General features: G+C 50.4%; 3 annotated features.

Moving 5' to 3' along the window:
• Positions 3,038–3,549: an enhancer, noted in NCBI's record as "H3K4me1 hESC enhancer chr9:92450186-92450697 (GRCh37/hg19 assembly coordinates)". NCBI's record gives its function as "activates a minimal SCP1, AML or CMV promoter by ChIP-STARR-seq in primed H9 embryonic stem cells {active_cell/tissue: H9 hESC(primed)}" and the evidence as "EXISTENCE:reporter gene assay evidence [ECO:0000049][PMID:30033119]".
• Positions 11,663–12,164: an enhancer, noted in NCBI's record as "H3K4me1 hESC enhancer chr9:92458811-92459312 (GRCh37/hg19 assembly coordinates)". NCBI's record gives its function as "activates a minimal SCP1, AML or CMV promoter by ChIP-STARR-seq in naive H9 embryonic stem cells {active_cell/tissue: H9 hESC(naive)}" and the evidence as "EXISTENCE:reporter gene assay evidence [ECO:0000049][PMID:30033119]".
• Positions 12,165–12,664: an enhancer, noted in NCBI's record as "H3K4me1 hESC enhancer chr9:92459313-92459812 (GRCh37/hg19 assembly coordinates)". NCBI's record gives its function as "activates a minimal SCP1, AML or CMV promoter by ChIP-STARR-seq in naive H9 embryonic stem cells {active_cell/tissue: H9 hESC(naive)}" and the evidence as "EXISTENCE:reporter gene assay evidence [ECO:0000049][PMID:30033119]".

Consider the following 13,529-nt stretch of genomic DNA (forward strand, 5'->3'; position numbering starts at 1 on the left):
CTTCATTCAACTGTGACGTGAATGTCAGCCTGGGCTCTTTCAGCTGGGATGGAGAAACAGCTGTTCTCAACACGGATGAGGCCCCAGCCTTGGCCCTGCCAAGCCAATGGGCTGTGTGGCCCTGGGCCAAGGACATAGCTCTAGGATTTGTCTGGTCCTCGTGGTGCTTCACCATGAGAGCAGGGGAGGGTGGCAGTGAGACTTCTCTGGATGATAGAGAGGAGAGAATGGGAGGGCGGCATGCACCCAAAGAGATGGCTCCATCATGGAGCAAGGGACACGCTGCCTGGAGGCCACAGCCAGAGGAGCATCCTGGCTCCCAAGGATGGAGAACCAATGCCTGTCTGCAGGCTTGGCAATCGCCTCAAAGAAGTCCCAGGGCCTGATCAGAGAGACTCAGTGCTAAAGGGATGCAGGGCCTGGTCTCGGTGCTGCATGAGGAGGGCTAGCTGTCCACCATGGTCAGCCCAGCTGCCAGCCCTCCCCAGGTCTGGCCTGACAGATAGAGAATCTGGAGCTACAAGTGGGAGGGGGTGCCACCCGTGCAATCAGATGTCTGGCCCACTTCCAATGCCAATGTGATTTTATTGTTTTCTTGGTGGTTTGCTTGGGAAGGGGTTGTGGATGCCACAGGCACTGGGAAAGGCAGCTCTGGGAGAAGGCAAGGCAGGGTTTTGCCAGCCAGCCTCAGGCCCCTCATCCAAGAACTGAGGGAGGCTGGGACCCTTCAGAGGGCAGGATTGTGGATTTGGTATCACCTGCTTTCCCAGTTTTCAGCAGAGAGCTGACAGGCAGGGGCTGACCGCACGCGCCTCTCCTGCTGCTGGAGGGAGCGGAGAACAGACTGTCCACTCACTCCAAGCCCAAGTGGCTGCTGTGCTGCCCGCTGGACCTCCAGAATCCTTCTCTGCACCGCACATGAGATGCACCAGTGTTGGGGCCCTGGCCTTTCCTAACACGATTTGACCTTTTGTACCTCCAGGTCTCTGCATGTGCTGACTCCTGGAATTCCCACCAACAAACCGTTTCTCCACCAAAACACCAGAGCAATCCCTCCCCGAAGCCTGTCCTAGGAGGGCTCATTGCTGGCTCAGATACTGGGCAGGGCCCTGCTCCCCCGCTGTGGGCCTTGGCCATCTGATGTCCGTGTGTGCGTACATACAGAGATTTCTCATGGGAATTGGCTTATGTGATTATAGAGGCTGAGAAGTCTCACAATCTGCCATCTGCAAGCCAGAGACCCAGGCCAGCTGATGATGTAATTCCAGTCTAAGTTTGCAAGCCTGAGAACCGGCAGTGCCGGCGTCCAAGGGCAGGAGAAGATGCATATCCCAGCTTAAGCAGAGAGAGCACATTAAGTGTACTCTGCTTTTTGTTCTGTCTTGGCCCTCCATGGACTAGATGGTGCCCACCTGCATTGGTCCACTTCTTTAGTCAGTCTACTGATTCACATGCTAATCTCTTCTGGAAATTTTCAAACAGACACACCTAGAAATACTGTTTTACCAGCTATATGGACATTCCTTAGCCAGGCGAGTTGACAAAATTCACCATCACACTTGCTTAGTTTGAGCCCACAACAGGCAGAAGTGCCAGGAGTTAACTCAGGAATTCTTCAACTGATCCTTCTCAGAGTGGAGTATGAATACCCCAACTCCACCAGTCCCAGGATTGGGGAGGCACATGAGTTTCACACCAGGACTCCACAAAGCCTGGCGTGTGGGTGGGTGCAGGGCTGCCCACTGTTACTGGGCCATGGAGAGGTAAGCACAGAAATTGAGAGTGAGCAGACACTTTTACAGCACTAGGTTATAGAAGCAACATCCAAGCTCATGGTCATTTTTCTAGCAATTCATTTCAGCAAATATATCTCGCAAAAGTGTCCATTGGCAATGAATTGGCTAGACCGACAAAAAGTTCCCAGTCCTTCGCTACAGATAGTTTGAGAACGCAGTTTGCTACCATGGCCAGAAACACTGGGTGTGTCTTTGCTGTCCCGGCCATTTGCTGCTGGCTTCTGTGGAGCCTTTCTCCACACGTCTGTGGAGAGTGTTCTGTGCAGAGCTGAGACCCCAGGGGCCAGGGCTGGAGACGTGCCGGCATGGCCTCCTCAGCAGCCATGGCAACATGGGACAGAAGGATGGCTGCCTCCGAAGCATTGTGTGGAATCGTCCTGAAGACAGCAGGGATGCGGGGGCCCCCAGCTGGTTTCTGGGGCAGCCTTCAGGGCACTGCTTGTTGCTTTCCGGATAGGCGTTGGTGGCGGAAGCAGCTGACCTGCTTCTGCTGGCCACCTTGGAATCCGGGACTCTGCTAAACCAGGACAAAGGCCAGAAGGGTCTTGGAAGGGTCTGGAGGGGAAGAAGGGAGTTGAATGGCGTCATTTTTGTTGAAGGCACAGGGCTGCCTGTTTCCCATGGAAAAGTAAAAAGATGAACAGACAGATAATCAACTGAGGTAAACAACTCTTGAAGAGTGGGCAGAACCTTCTCTAAGGTCATGACTCCTTTGAGAAAGTGACGAAAGCTGTGGGCTCTGTTCCCAGGAGATGCACGTGGGTGTGCAAACATAAACACATGCCCAACTGTAAACACATACACACGCATACATGCATGAATGAACAATTACACATGTTCATACATGTGCAACCACTGGGCACATGTGCACACATGCACAAATGTACAAATGCATGCCATTAACACAGGACATATACATATGCTTGTGTGTACACATACAAGAAAACCACACACAGGCACACACATGTGTTTATGCACATGTGTGCACACACGCACACATATGCACACACATGTACACACGTGGACACATGCACATGCACACACAAACTGCACACATGCACATTTACACATGTGCAAATGATGTTGTGCCACCTCCCAGGTGTTGTTGACACTCAGAACCATCTCTACAGTTTCCAGGGCTCAGAGATCCTGTTTTAAAAGAAAAGTGGGCATTTAAAAAGCTGCAAGAAGGAAAAGGAAACTACAGGAAGGAAATAAAAAGTCTCAAAGACTGCCTAATTAAAGTGACAGAGAGCCATTCCTTACTGCTCACTCTGCAAACCTGTGCTACGGCTGAGAGGTGCCCTCTAGAAAGGAAATGACCTACAGTTCTGGGATGTATGGTGCCATCTCCCCAGGCCTCCCCCATTGGCTTGAGCAGAGAACAGATGGCAATTTCAGCTGCAGGAAACTCAGAGAGGCACGTCTCAAACTTCAGATGCCAGGGTTGTTCCTCTGCCCCAGCCTCCAAGAAAACCTTCACAGTCAAGTCTGGCGTTGACACTATCCCCTGGAGAGCCCCTTGGTCCCTAGAGAGTCAGAGGCTTATGGCCACATGGGCTAGGCCTACGCCTTGTCACTGGGAGCTCTGGTCACTTGGCCCCTAGCCACTGGGGAGGTCAGGAGGGACTCTGGAAAGCTCCTTCAAACAGGGAGTCATTAAAAGTCCCTGCCCAACTATGTGGCTGATGGTTTTCCTGAGGCTGGGTAGGAAGGAGCAATGGGTGACCTGGGGCCCAGCATGGGGCAGCAGGACCTGGGGACCCCTGCCTTGCAGAGGCCCACACTCATGACTGGCACCGAGCCATAGCAGCACATCTCTCCCAGTGTGTGCACGTGCACACACACACAAACACATGCACACAACCACAGGCATGCACACACACACACAAAACCACAGTCACGCACACACACAAACACACAAACACATACACACAAAACCACAGGCATGCACACACACACAAACCAGGTCCATTTGACACACACATGTCACACACACAAACCACAGTCATGCACACGCACACACATAAACACAGACACACATACACAAATACACAAACACACACACAAAACCATAGGCATGCACACACACACACAAAACCACATGCATGCACACACACACACAAAACCACAGGCATGCACACACACACACAAAACCACAGGCATGCACACACACAAAACCACAGGCATGCACACACACAAAACCACAGGCATGCACGCACACACACACACACACACAACCACAGACAGGCACACATGTGCTCATCCTGAGACTGGAAAGGGTGCTGGGCAATCCACATAAATGTCCCCTTGAATCTTCTGGTGGCCCCATGGGCAGGCTCCAGAAGCTCCATCTTACAGGTGAACAGATTGGCTACACTTTAGAGGAAAATGAAGCTCGGTGAGGTTGCACAACCTGAGGTCACACAGTGAGGATGGCATCCAGGACTCCAAACCAGGTGATCAGGCTTCAAAGCCTGCATCCTCCCCATGATCCTGCCCCTGGCCCAGGGGACTGCTAAACCCAGTGTGCTGAGGACAAGGAGGACATGGGCTTAGATGAGCCTGGCCTGGACAAAGCTGTGTGGTACAGAGTGACCTGCACAGCTCATGGCCCCATCTGAGCACCAGAGTCCCATGGGATACTGAGCCACAAGACTGAGCCTACCCAGACCAGCTCTGGGAAAGAGCCTTCCCGTCACCCGTCTTGTGGCCATCTGCTTAGGCAGGGTGGCTGGACCTCAATTCCCAGGCAGCTGTGTCAAGCGAGGGGGGGGGGGTCCCTGAAAGAAGCGTGGGCCCCAGATGTGCTTTATGGAGTGGGGAGATGTAGGTTGTACAACACTTCATTACTGCCCGCAGCTGGGAAACAGCTGCCGCTCTCAGCTGGCCGGGCTGCCTGGCCCCTGGGCCACAATAGGATTGTGTGTGGGAGCTGGCAGCAGAGAGTCATTAAAGAAGCCAGCTAGGCTCTGGGAGGAGGGATTATGCTGATGCCGCAGTCCCAGAAGCTGGCCTCTGCCAGGGGAGCTGGTAATTGCGGACCAGCCACCTGGACTCTCTAGGACTCTGTTCTCCTCTTCAGAGAGAGTTGTACTCAGCTCTTGGGGTGGTTGTGAGGACTGAGGATGCAACAAATTTCCATCACACTTCAGCACAGCTCTTAGGAACTAGTGGGGTAAACCAGAGATTATCAAAGCTACTGGCTGAAATTTGCCTGAATTTCACAATGTTGCTCACCAGTAGGAATTGCTGGGGTGCGGGGAGGAAGTTCCAGGCCTGTCAATGTCAAAAACAGATCTTTCCAAGGATGCCGTCTCTCTGCTGCCTCCCTTCTGTGACAAGAGCTGTCGGTAACTGTGTTGGTGGTGAGCTACCTGGAAACTTAGTGTGAGAAACTACTAGTGGGTCCTGTGGGTCAGGAATTTGGAGACTGCATGGTGGGGACGGCTCCTCTCTGCTCTACCATGTCTGAGGCCCAAGCTGGGACATCTGACTGGTGATAATTCATTCTTACATCTTGACAGGTTTGTGGGTTGTCAACTGGGTCCTCAGTTCCTCTCCGGATGGCTAGTTGGACTTTCTCACAGCATGGTGGCTGGGTTCCCAGGATGAGTCCTCAAAGAGCCCAAAGGAAGCTACATGCTATTTATGACCTCACCTTGGCCACCCCACAGCATCCTCGCTGCCAGGCTCTCTTCATGCATATATACTACCCAGATTTAAGGGTGAGGACAAAAACCCCCTAGGGGGAGGAGTGTTGATCACATTGTGAGGGGAGCATGTGGTATAAGATATGCACATATACCCAGACATACACACACAGCTGTGGCCGTCTCTGAAAAACAGCAGCCTGCCCAGTGTTCCTGTGAGTTTTTATAGAGAGACAGAGCTTTGTCTAGGGTTTCAATCTTACAATACTCTTACTAAAGATCCTTCTGAAATGCAGTCACAAGCTGGGAGAATCCAAGAGAGCAGAGACCCCTTAGGAAAGAGCATCTCCTGGGATCTGGCCTCAGGAACTTACAAACAAGTTGGAGAAAGACCATGTAAACATAAACAAATATGCCGAAACACCCGCATAACATTTTGAGACAAAGAGAATTGCACTAATGTAAGATGAACTCAATTATGAAATTGTACAGTGCCTGGAGCTCTGCCCTGAGTGGCCCCACCAGGATCCATGGGAGAAGATTTGTCCTTGACTGAAAAGCCGGGACAACCAGCTATTTCTCCAGAGTTGCTCTGATTAGTCTGTTACCACTGAGTTTTTAAATGTATCCACACTGTATATACGATTTAAAGTAATGAGTTATTTCTTCTGTAATTAAAAAAAATAACATAAAAGTTAAATAACATAAAAGTTAAAAAAAACAACTCTTTCTTTCTTTTTTTTTTTTGGATAGGGGTTTTTACTCCTGTTGCCCAGGCTGGAGTGCAATGGCATGATCTCGGCTCACCACAACCTCCACCTCCCGGGTTCAAGCGATTCTCCTGCCTCAGCCTCCTGAGTAGCTGGGATTACAGGCGTAGACCACCATGCCTGGCTAATTTTGTATTTTTAGTAGAGATAGGGTTTCTCTATGTTGGTCAGGCTAGTTGTGAACTCCCAACGTCAGGTGATCCACCCGCCTCCGCTCCTTTTTTTTTTAATTGAAGAAGTCAACATTCCTTCTTATCTCCACCAGGCTGACCCTGGTGGCAACCGCAGTTAATAGCTTCATGTGAATTGTTTGTTTGTTTTCAAAACCTAGATTTTAATCTTTTAAATTCTTTTAAAAATATTGCCACCATCAAGGCGGGGCACCAGTCACATGGGCATGGAGGCAGTCTAGGCGCTGAGGGGGCTGGGCCACGTGTCCCCCTTTTTGGGTAGAGGGGTGAGGGTGGGGAAGGAATATGTGGGCTGGTGACCCAGAGAAGGGGCCTGGGACCAGGGCAGGGGCATTGGGAGCCAGCTTGGAAGTGTGTAAGCTGCCTAATAAAAGTGACAGAGAACCATTTCCCACTGCTCTTTGATGTTTTTGTTTTTTTAAATTTTTTTAATTAATTTTTTTTTATTATAAAAGAAAACTTTTTTTTGGCCTCCCAGGTAGCTGGGATTAAGGTGCCTGCCACCATGCCTGGCTAATTTTTGTATTTTTTAGTAGAGACGGGGTTTCACCATGTTGGCCAGGCTGGTCTCGAACTCCTGACCTCTGATGATCTGCCCGCCGCGGCCTCCCAAAGTGCTGGGATTACAGGCGTGAGCCACTGCGACCAGTCTTGATGTTTGAAATGATATTTGAAATGATACTCATAGCTGTTCCAGCACTGGCCCACAGAATTTTTGCATAATTATGTTTTTCTTGTTGTTTGTAATACTGTTTCTACTCTCTGATCATTCCTGGATATTTCTCCAGGTGACAACGCGGGAATCATTGCATTTTAGGGGAACTCTTTTTATTGAAATATCTCTTCCATATAGAAAAGGGCACACACCAGGATTGAACAACATGATGAATTTTCCCAAGGTGAACCCAAATGTGTTGTCAGCCTGAGAAAGGACAATATCAGCCCCCAGAGGCTCCCTCTGAGTGCCAACCACCCTCCAAGCCTGGTCACCATCCTTATCTCTGAAACCATAGCTGACTTTCATCTATCTTAGAAGGTATATCATTGCAACATGCAGGGTGCGTTTGTTTGAGTCTGGCTCCTACAGCACAGCATCACGTCTGCGATAATCAAAGGTTGCATTCTTTTGGACACCTGCGTTGCAACCCCTGGATTGTTGAGCCCCTCATTTATTTAGAGAAGCCATTAGGATTATAATTAGTGATGTGTTTTTTTTTTTTCTGCCAAAATTTATAGCTGCCCTGGGACTTCCTTCACAGGCAGTAGAGAAAGTGGATGGGAACAGTCCGGGCAATTATGAAGCTGGAACAATTGTAGGCTTGGATATCCCCAGAGACTTGGGTAGGATTCCTGTTGGCTTTGTGACTCTATGGCTTCTCATCTGTGGGAACATCGACAGTGGTACCAGCATGCGTTGGGGGCTGTCTAGGGTAGGCTGCGTGCAGGACACCTTATGTGTAGGGTCCACTGGGTCTCTACTACCACACAGGGGAATGCAGTTACTATCCCCACGACACAGATGAGTTAACTGAGGTATGCTCACAGAGCTGGTAAGGGCAGGGAACTGAAACCTGGACCCAGAGTGTCTGGCTTCAGAAGCCAGGCATCCATGCTCTGGGCCATGTTGTCTTCTTGAGCAGAATGGGGGCATCCAGGGTCCTTTCAGGCATATCCTTCTTCAGACACAGCCTGTGGTCCCTCTGCAGGGCCCTGGAGTAGGTCACTGTGTTCAGTTTCTTTTGTTTAAGCTGGGGATTTCCATAACCCCTGCTACATGTAGTCTCTAGGTTCAAGCTGTTCTGTGGGTGAGTCTGATGGCTCCTTCCAGCACATTCGTTCAGCTGGCCAGGGCTGAGGCTCCAGTGTGGGTCAACTGGGACAGCAGAGTCCAGCAGACATTTCACCAGAGTATACTTGGGAAGTCACTGTGGTCGTGGGCAGCTGGTGCCCTCCATACGGAGAACTGGAAAAACATTTATTTTAAAAGAATTGAATATACCACTTTGGAAAATCATGCCAGTATGCGAACCCATTGTTTTTTAAATGGGTCTTGTTCTCCCAGTGAATACTTGCTTGGTAACTCTTTTTTGCATTATATAATTGATTTACACATTCTCACCTTTGCCAGTGAAAGGGAAAAATCACACAGATGACAAAATGCCCAGAGCATCTGAAACCACACCCTTGTCCTGGGCTTCAGTATCCTGGGGAAGTTCTCATTTGCAAATAATAAATTGCTGTATATTTCCTCTTCCTCCCACTGCTTGCCATCACATGGAAGTAGCAGAAAAAGTCCAAGTTCTAGAGTCCACCTACACTGGCCTTGGATTCCAGCCTGCCCGCCTGCTAGTGTGTGCACCTTTGGGTAGGTGGCCAGGTTCTCCCATTGGAATGAGCCATGGCTGGTGGCCTGCCTGACTCCCCTGAAGTAATGCAGGCCCAACTGAGGATGAGCAGCATCCCATCCTCAGGGAATCCCCACCCACAGGAAAGAAGAGCACAGAGGGTGGACATAAGACTTGCAAGCGTCCTCAGTTGAAGCTGATGTGTAGGAAAAGTGGGTGCTGCTGGTGGGAGGGCAAGGGCATTGCAGAGGAGCTCTGGGCAAGGCAAGCTCAGTACAACAGGCAGGCAACCAGTTCTCCCTCTCCCCACCTCCTTCTCACCAGGCCGTTCCTGGGACTGTCAGGGAAAAGACACATGCTTGGCTCTGAGTGTTGGGTATTTAAGTTCTGAAGTTCGGAGTATTTAAGTGCTTCCAGTGGACAGTCACTAACAGAGGCTGAAGGCCCAGGGGCAGGCCACCCTGTCCTGTAGATGCCCAGAGCTGTCTCTTCTAAAGCTCAGGATCTAGGCCACATCCACGAGCAACTCAAGCCAGGAACCAGGTGTCACCCTGACTTCTTGCCCCTGGGTCCTGGCACCCCTGCATTTTGGGAGTCTCCAGATGCCACACCTATCTCACTGATGCTCCTCCTCAGTGAAGCACAAGACAGCTTGCTAACTGTTGTGTTCACAACCATTTTGCATGACACCAACCTGGTTCCTCCCTAGCCCTTCTCAACATCAGTGTGATGGTGTCACCCACCCTTAGGAGCCCCCATACCTCTGCTGCAATGTGTGTCAGTCTTGATGTTGGCATGGCACCTTAGTTCCTTTATTCTGTTAACATTTTATTATAAACACTTTACAACATGCAGAAAAGCTGACATAATTGTACAGTGAAGAATTGTGTTCACAGTGTAGGTGGACATCCTCCTGACAACTGGATCCCATGATTAACCTTTTACTATCTTTGCTCTACCACATGTCTCCATCTCTCTGCCCTATCACCATGTCCATCTCATTTTTTTAATGCATTGCATGGAAGTTTCAGACATCAGTACATGCCACCCTAACACTTTAGCATGAATGTTATTGACTAGATTTCAGTATTTGTTAGCAGTTGTTTTTTGGGGGGAAGGGGTCAGATTTTCATTCAAAGACATGAACATATATTAACAGAACAATCTGATGTATTTAGGCAAATGCATCCGCTTCCATAATCCAAATTCTATAGAGATATAGGGCATCACCATTGCCCTAGAAAGTTCCCTTCTGCCCCTTCCCAGCCAATCCCCACCTTCAACTCCCCAAAGATAACACTGGCAGCATTTTGTCAACATAGCTTAGCTTTGCCTTTTCTGGAAATTCGTATAAACGGAATCGTAGAGTATACACGCTTCCGGTTTATTGATTCATCTGTGTGGCCGATTACATGCATCTGCAGTTGGCTCCTTTTAATTGCTGAGGAGTGTTCCAGCATACAGAGGTAGTGCTGCGCTGTTGATGGATGCCTGGATGCTTTCCAGCTGGCAATAGTGAGTAACAAAGCTGCTATGTGCCTCCTTGCACACATCTTTGGATGGATGCTTTCGTAATACACATGGGTGAAATGGCAGTGTGCACACCAGCCTCTTTGTGACATGCCCCTTGCCTACTTCTCAGCCACACAGCCCTGGCTGCGGAGAAGCCCTGAGCTGTTTCTCATATACCAGATGCTGTTTCATATGCGAGGACTGTGTGCGCCGGGTCCCCAACCTCTGACACTCTCACTCTCTTCTGGGTGTTCCCTCCTCCGTCATCTGTGTTCCTGCAACAAGTTCGATTCCAAGGTTTTCCTTTGACTCCAAGGGTTTCCTCTGATTCCAAAGGTTTCTTCTTGAAGTTATTCCAGGAAGTGCTGGCAAGTGTAGGACGTGCATGCTATATGTGATGAGCTGTCACCACTGGACACTGGGGCACAGTCCCTGGAGACCTCAAGGGCAAGCGCAGAACTGGCTTTGGTGTTGTCTTCTCTGGAGGCTAAGAAGCTGGGGAGATTACCCTCTGACTTCTGCAGTGCCTCCCATCACCAGCTTTGTTGCCCAGGCAGGCTCTCAATCAGTTCCCGAACCCACCCGGAGAGGCTGAGTGGAGTGTGCAGGGAGCATCCTCAGGCAGAGCCCGGCATTGCAGTAGGGCCTGCAGCTCTGTGGGAAAACAGAGACCCAAGGTCAGGCTAGCAGGGCACCCACAATGCAAACCACACCTTCTCCAGAAGCCTCCCCTGACCACCTTTTGCGTATTCTTTCCTCTGTGCTCTGATGTCACAGGGCACATGCATGCCTGGCGGTGCTCGCTTGTGCCAGTTGCAGTGGTCTGTTGGTGAGGTTTTCCCTCTCAGCTGCAAACTCCTCAGGGAGTCTCTCCATCTCTGCACCCCCAGGACTCGAAACAGCCCTTGAATGCATCAATTCACTTGTACCCTTACCACACTATCTATTCTGTCCCAGGAGTCACCTTCTACAGTGTCCTGTCACAAAGGTTTGGCTGGGACTGCTGGCAAAAGCCACTGGCTTGCTGCCTGTCCCTCCCTGGCAAGCCAGGCCTGTGTGCTGTGTGTGTAACCTTTGACAAAGTTTGTGGTCTAAAGGTTATGCTGACTGGGCTGGAGGTGAGGCGAGGACAGCGTGTGTTGGAGGTTGGTGGAGTTTTGCCAACTAGAGCAAGCTTAGTGCCACCCCCTCGCTGGGCCCTGTTCCCTGAGGAAAGAGCCTATGGTTGGCTCTTACAAGACCACAGGTCAGTCTGTGCCTTCCTGTGTGCGTCTCACCCTGGTCGGGTGGGGTAGAGTGAGCACAGAACTAGGCACATGGTTCCAGGCCGCTTCACTGCTTCCTTAAGGTTGAGAATGTCCCCCAGGTCTCTTGTGCCTGGGATTAGTGGAAGCAGGTCCTGCTGGGACTGCAGCTGGGTGCCCTGGTCACCAATCCAGCTTCAGGAACTGAGCTGGATACCTGACACCTTAAGTGGGGTCATTTGCCCTATGGACCCACATCTGGGCACAGGGCCATTTCGTTCTCAACTCTTTTGTCAGGAAATCTTTTCGTGTTCTACTCACTTGGTGATTTTGTCCATTCAACACAGGTTTTTGGAGTCCCTGGCAGGGGCTTGGCAGATGCTGTGATGTATTGGTCCAGGGAATCGGCTTCCACCCGCAGCCCCAAAGCTCTTTCTTTCTGGCATCCCCATCCATGAGGGCTGGCTGTAGGTCAAGGTGGGGTGCTGCACCCTACACCATCACTCAGAGATCCACGGCCCTTCCATCACGTGGCCCTGCCATCCTCCTGGGCCCTGGGTTTCTCAGTTGGATTCTGTGAATCCAGGAGGTGAATGAGGAGAAAAACAGCATGGAGGATCCCATGGGAGGCTTCAGGGCCAAGCCTGAGTAAGATGCGCGTCACTTCTGCTCACAATCAATTTCCCAGAGCTTTCTCAGGACCCCCTCCCCACCCCAGCCACCCACGAGGCTGGGAAATGTGGTCTCCAGGGCTGGAGGGACACGTGACATCATCCTGGCCACACGTGGGGAAGGTTAGACCCGCCTCTCGGCCATAGGTGGCTGATGATCTAGTGAGCAGGATGCGTCCACACCCTTGCTGGTGACACTGCCTATGGAGGGGTATGGGCCCTGACAACAACAGCCTCATTTTCCAGTTCCTAGGTCAAGAGACAACTGTTTCCAATGTAAACATTCTTAAATAATTCTAAAATTAATTCTCACTTGGTTATACATGTAAGGTATTTTCTCCCAAGTGGTGCTGCACAGCAACAGTCATACCTGGAGAGCTTCCTGGGGAGTGGCTGGCAGAGTTGCTGTGTGGTGGGGTTGGGCTGGGACACTTGAGCTGAGCAGCCAGCCAGGGCTCTGTGCCGTGTCCCCTGCGTTTCCACAGGAAGGACTGTAGGAGTGTGGGCTTGCCAAGGTTACGAGGTGATAGGACATTTTCACAATGGAGCTCTTTCTTATATGCAATGTCCCTAGTGCAGCTTTCAAAAAATAGGATGAAAACTCATTTTTTTTTTTTTTCTGAGGCCGAGTTTCACTCTTGTTGCCCAGGCTGGAGTGCAATGGCGCCATCTTGGCTCACTGCAATCTCTGCCTCCCAGGTTCAAGTGATTCTCCTGTCTCAGCCTCCCGAGTAGCTGAGATTACAGGCATGCACCACCACGCCCGGCTAATTTTATATTTTTAGTAGAGACGGGGTTTCTCCATGTTGGTCAGGCTGGTCTCAAACTCCCGAACTCAGGTGATCTGCCCACCTCAGCCTCCCAAAGTGCTGGGATTACAGGAATGAGCCACCACCACGCCCGGCTAAAACTCATTTTTAGTGAAAAAATAATATTGCATCAAGTCAGGACTACTCTCATTGGAAGTCTAGGACTTCAGGTCTCCATATGACCAGGGAAGGGGAAGAGGAGATAGGGCCCTTTCCTGGGAGAGGGTTTAGCTCAGGAAGTCTGTGTCAGATCTGAGGAAAGGCTTGCGGGGATGAGGAAGAGCAGCAGGCATGGGTTGTGCAGACCCAACAGGTTACTAAGAATGGAAGCAAATTCTCATCAGGCCATGAGGGCAAGGGCAGAAACCGAAGCGTCTTCTGTCGTCACCACGTCTCCCAGGGAGGATGAGTTCTGGCTGCTTTGATACCGACAGCATTTAGGAATCAGAGATTCTTTTATGCTTTACAGAAGGTCTAGGGAAGTTTTTATTAACTGAAAATCAGTAATTTATCCAGCATGGTAGATAATAAAAAATAT

Source organism: Homo sapiens, chromosome 9 (assembly GCF_000001405.40).
Source record: "Homo sapiens chromosome 9, GRCh38.p14 Primary Assembly".
NCBI classification, from domain to species: domain Eukaryota; kingdom Metazoa; phylum Chordata; class Mammalia; order Primates; family Hominidae; genus Homo; species Homo sapiens.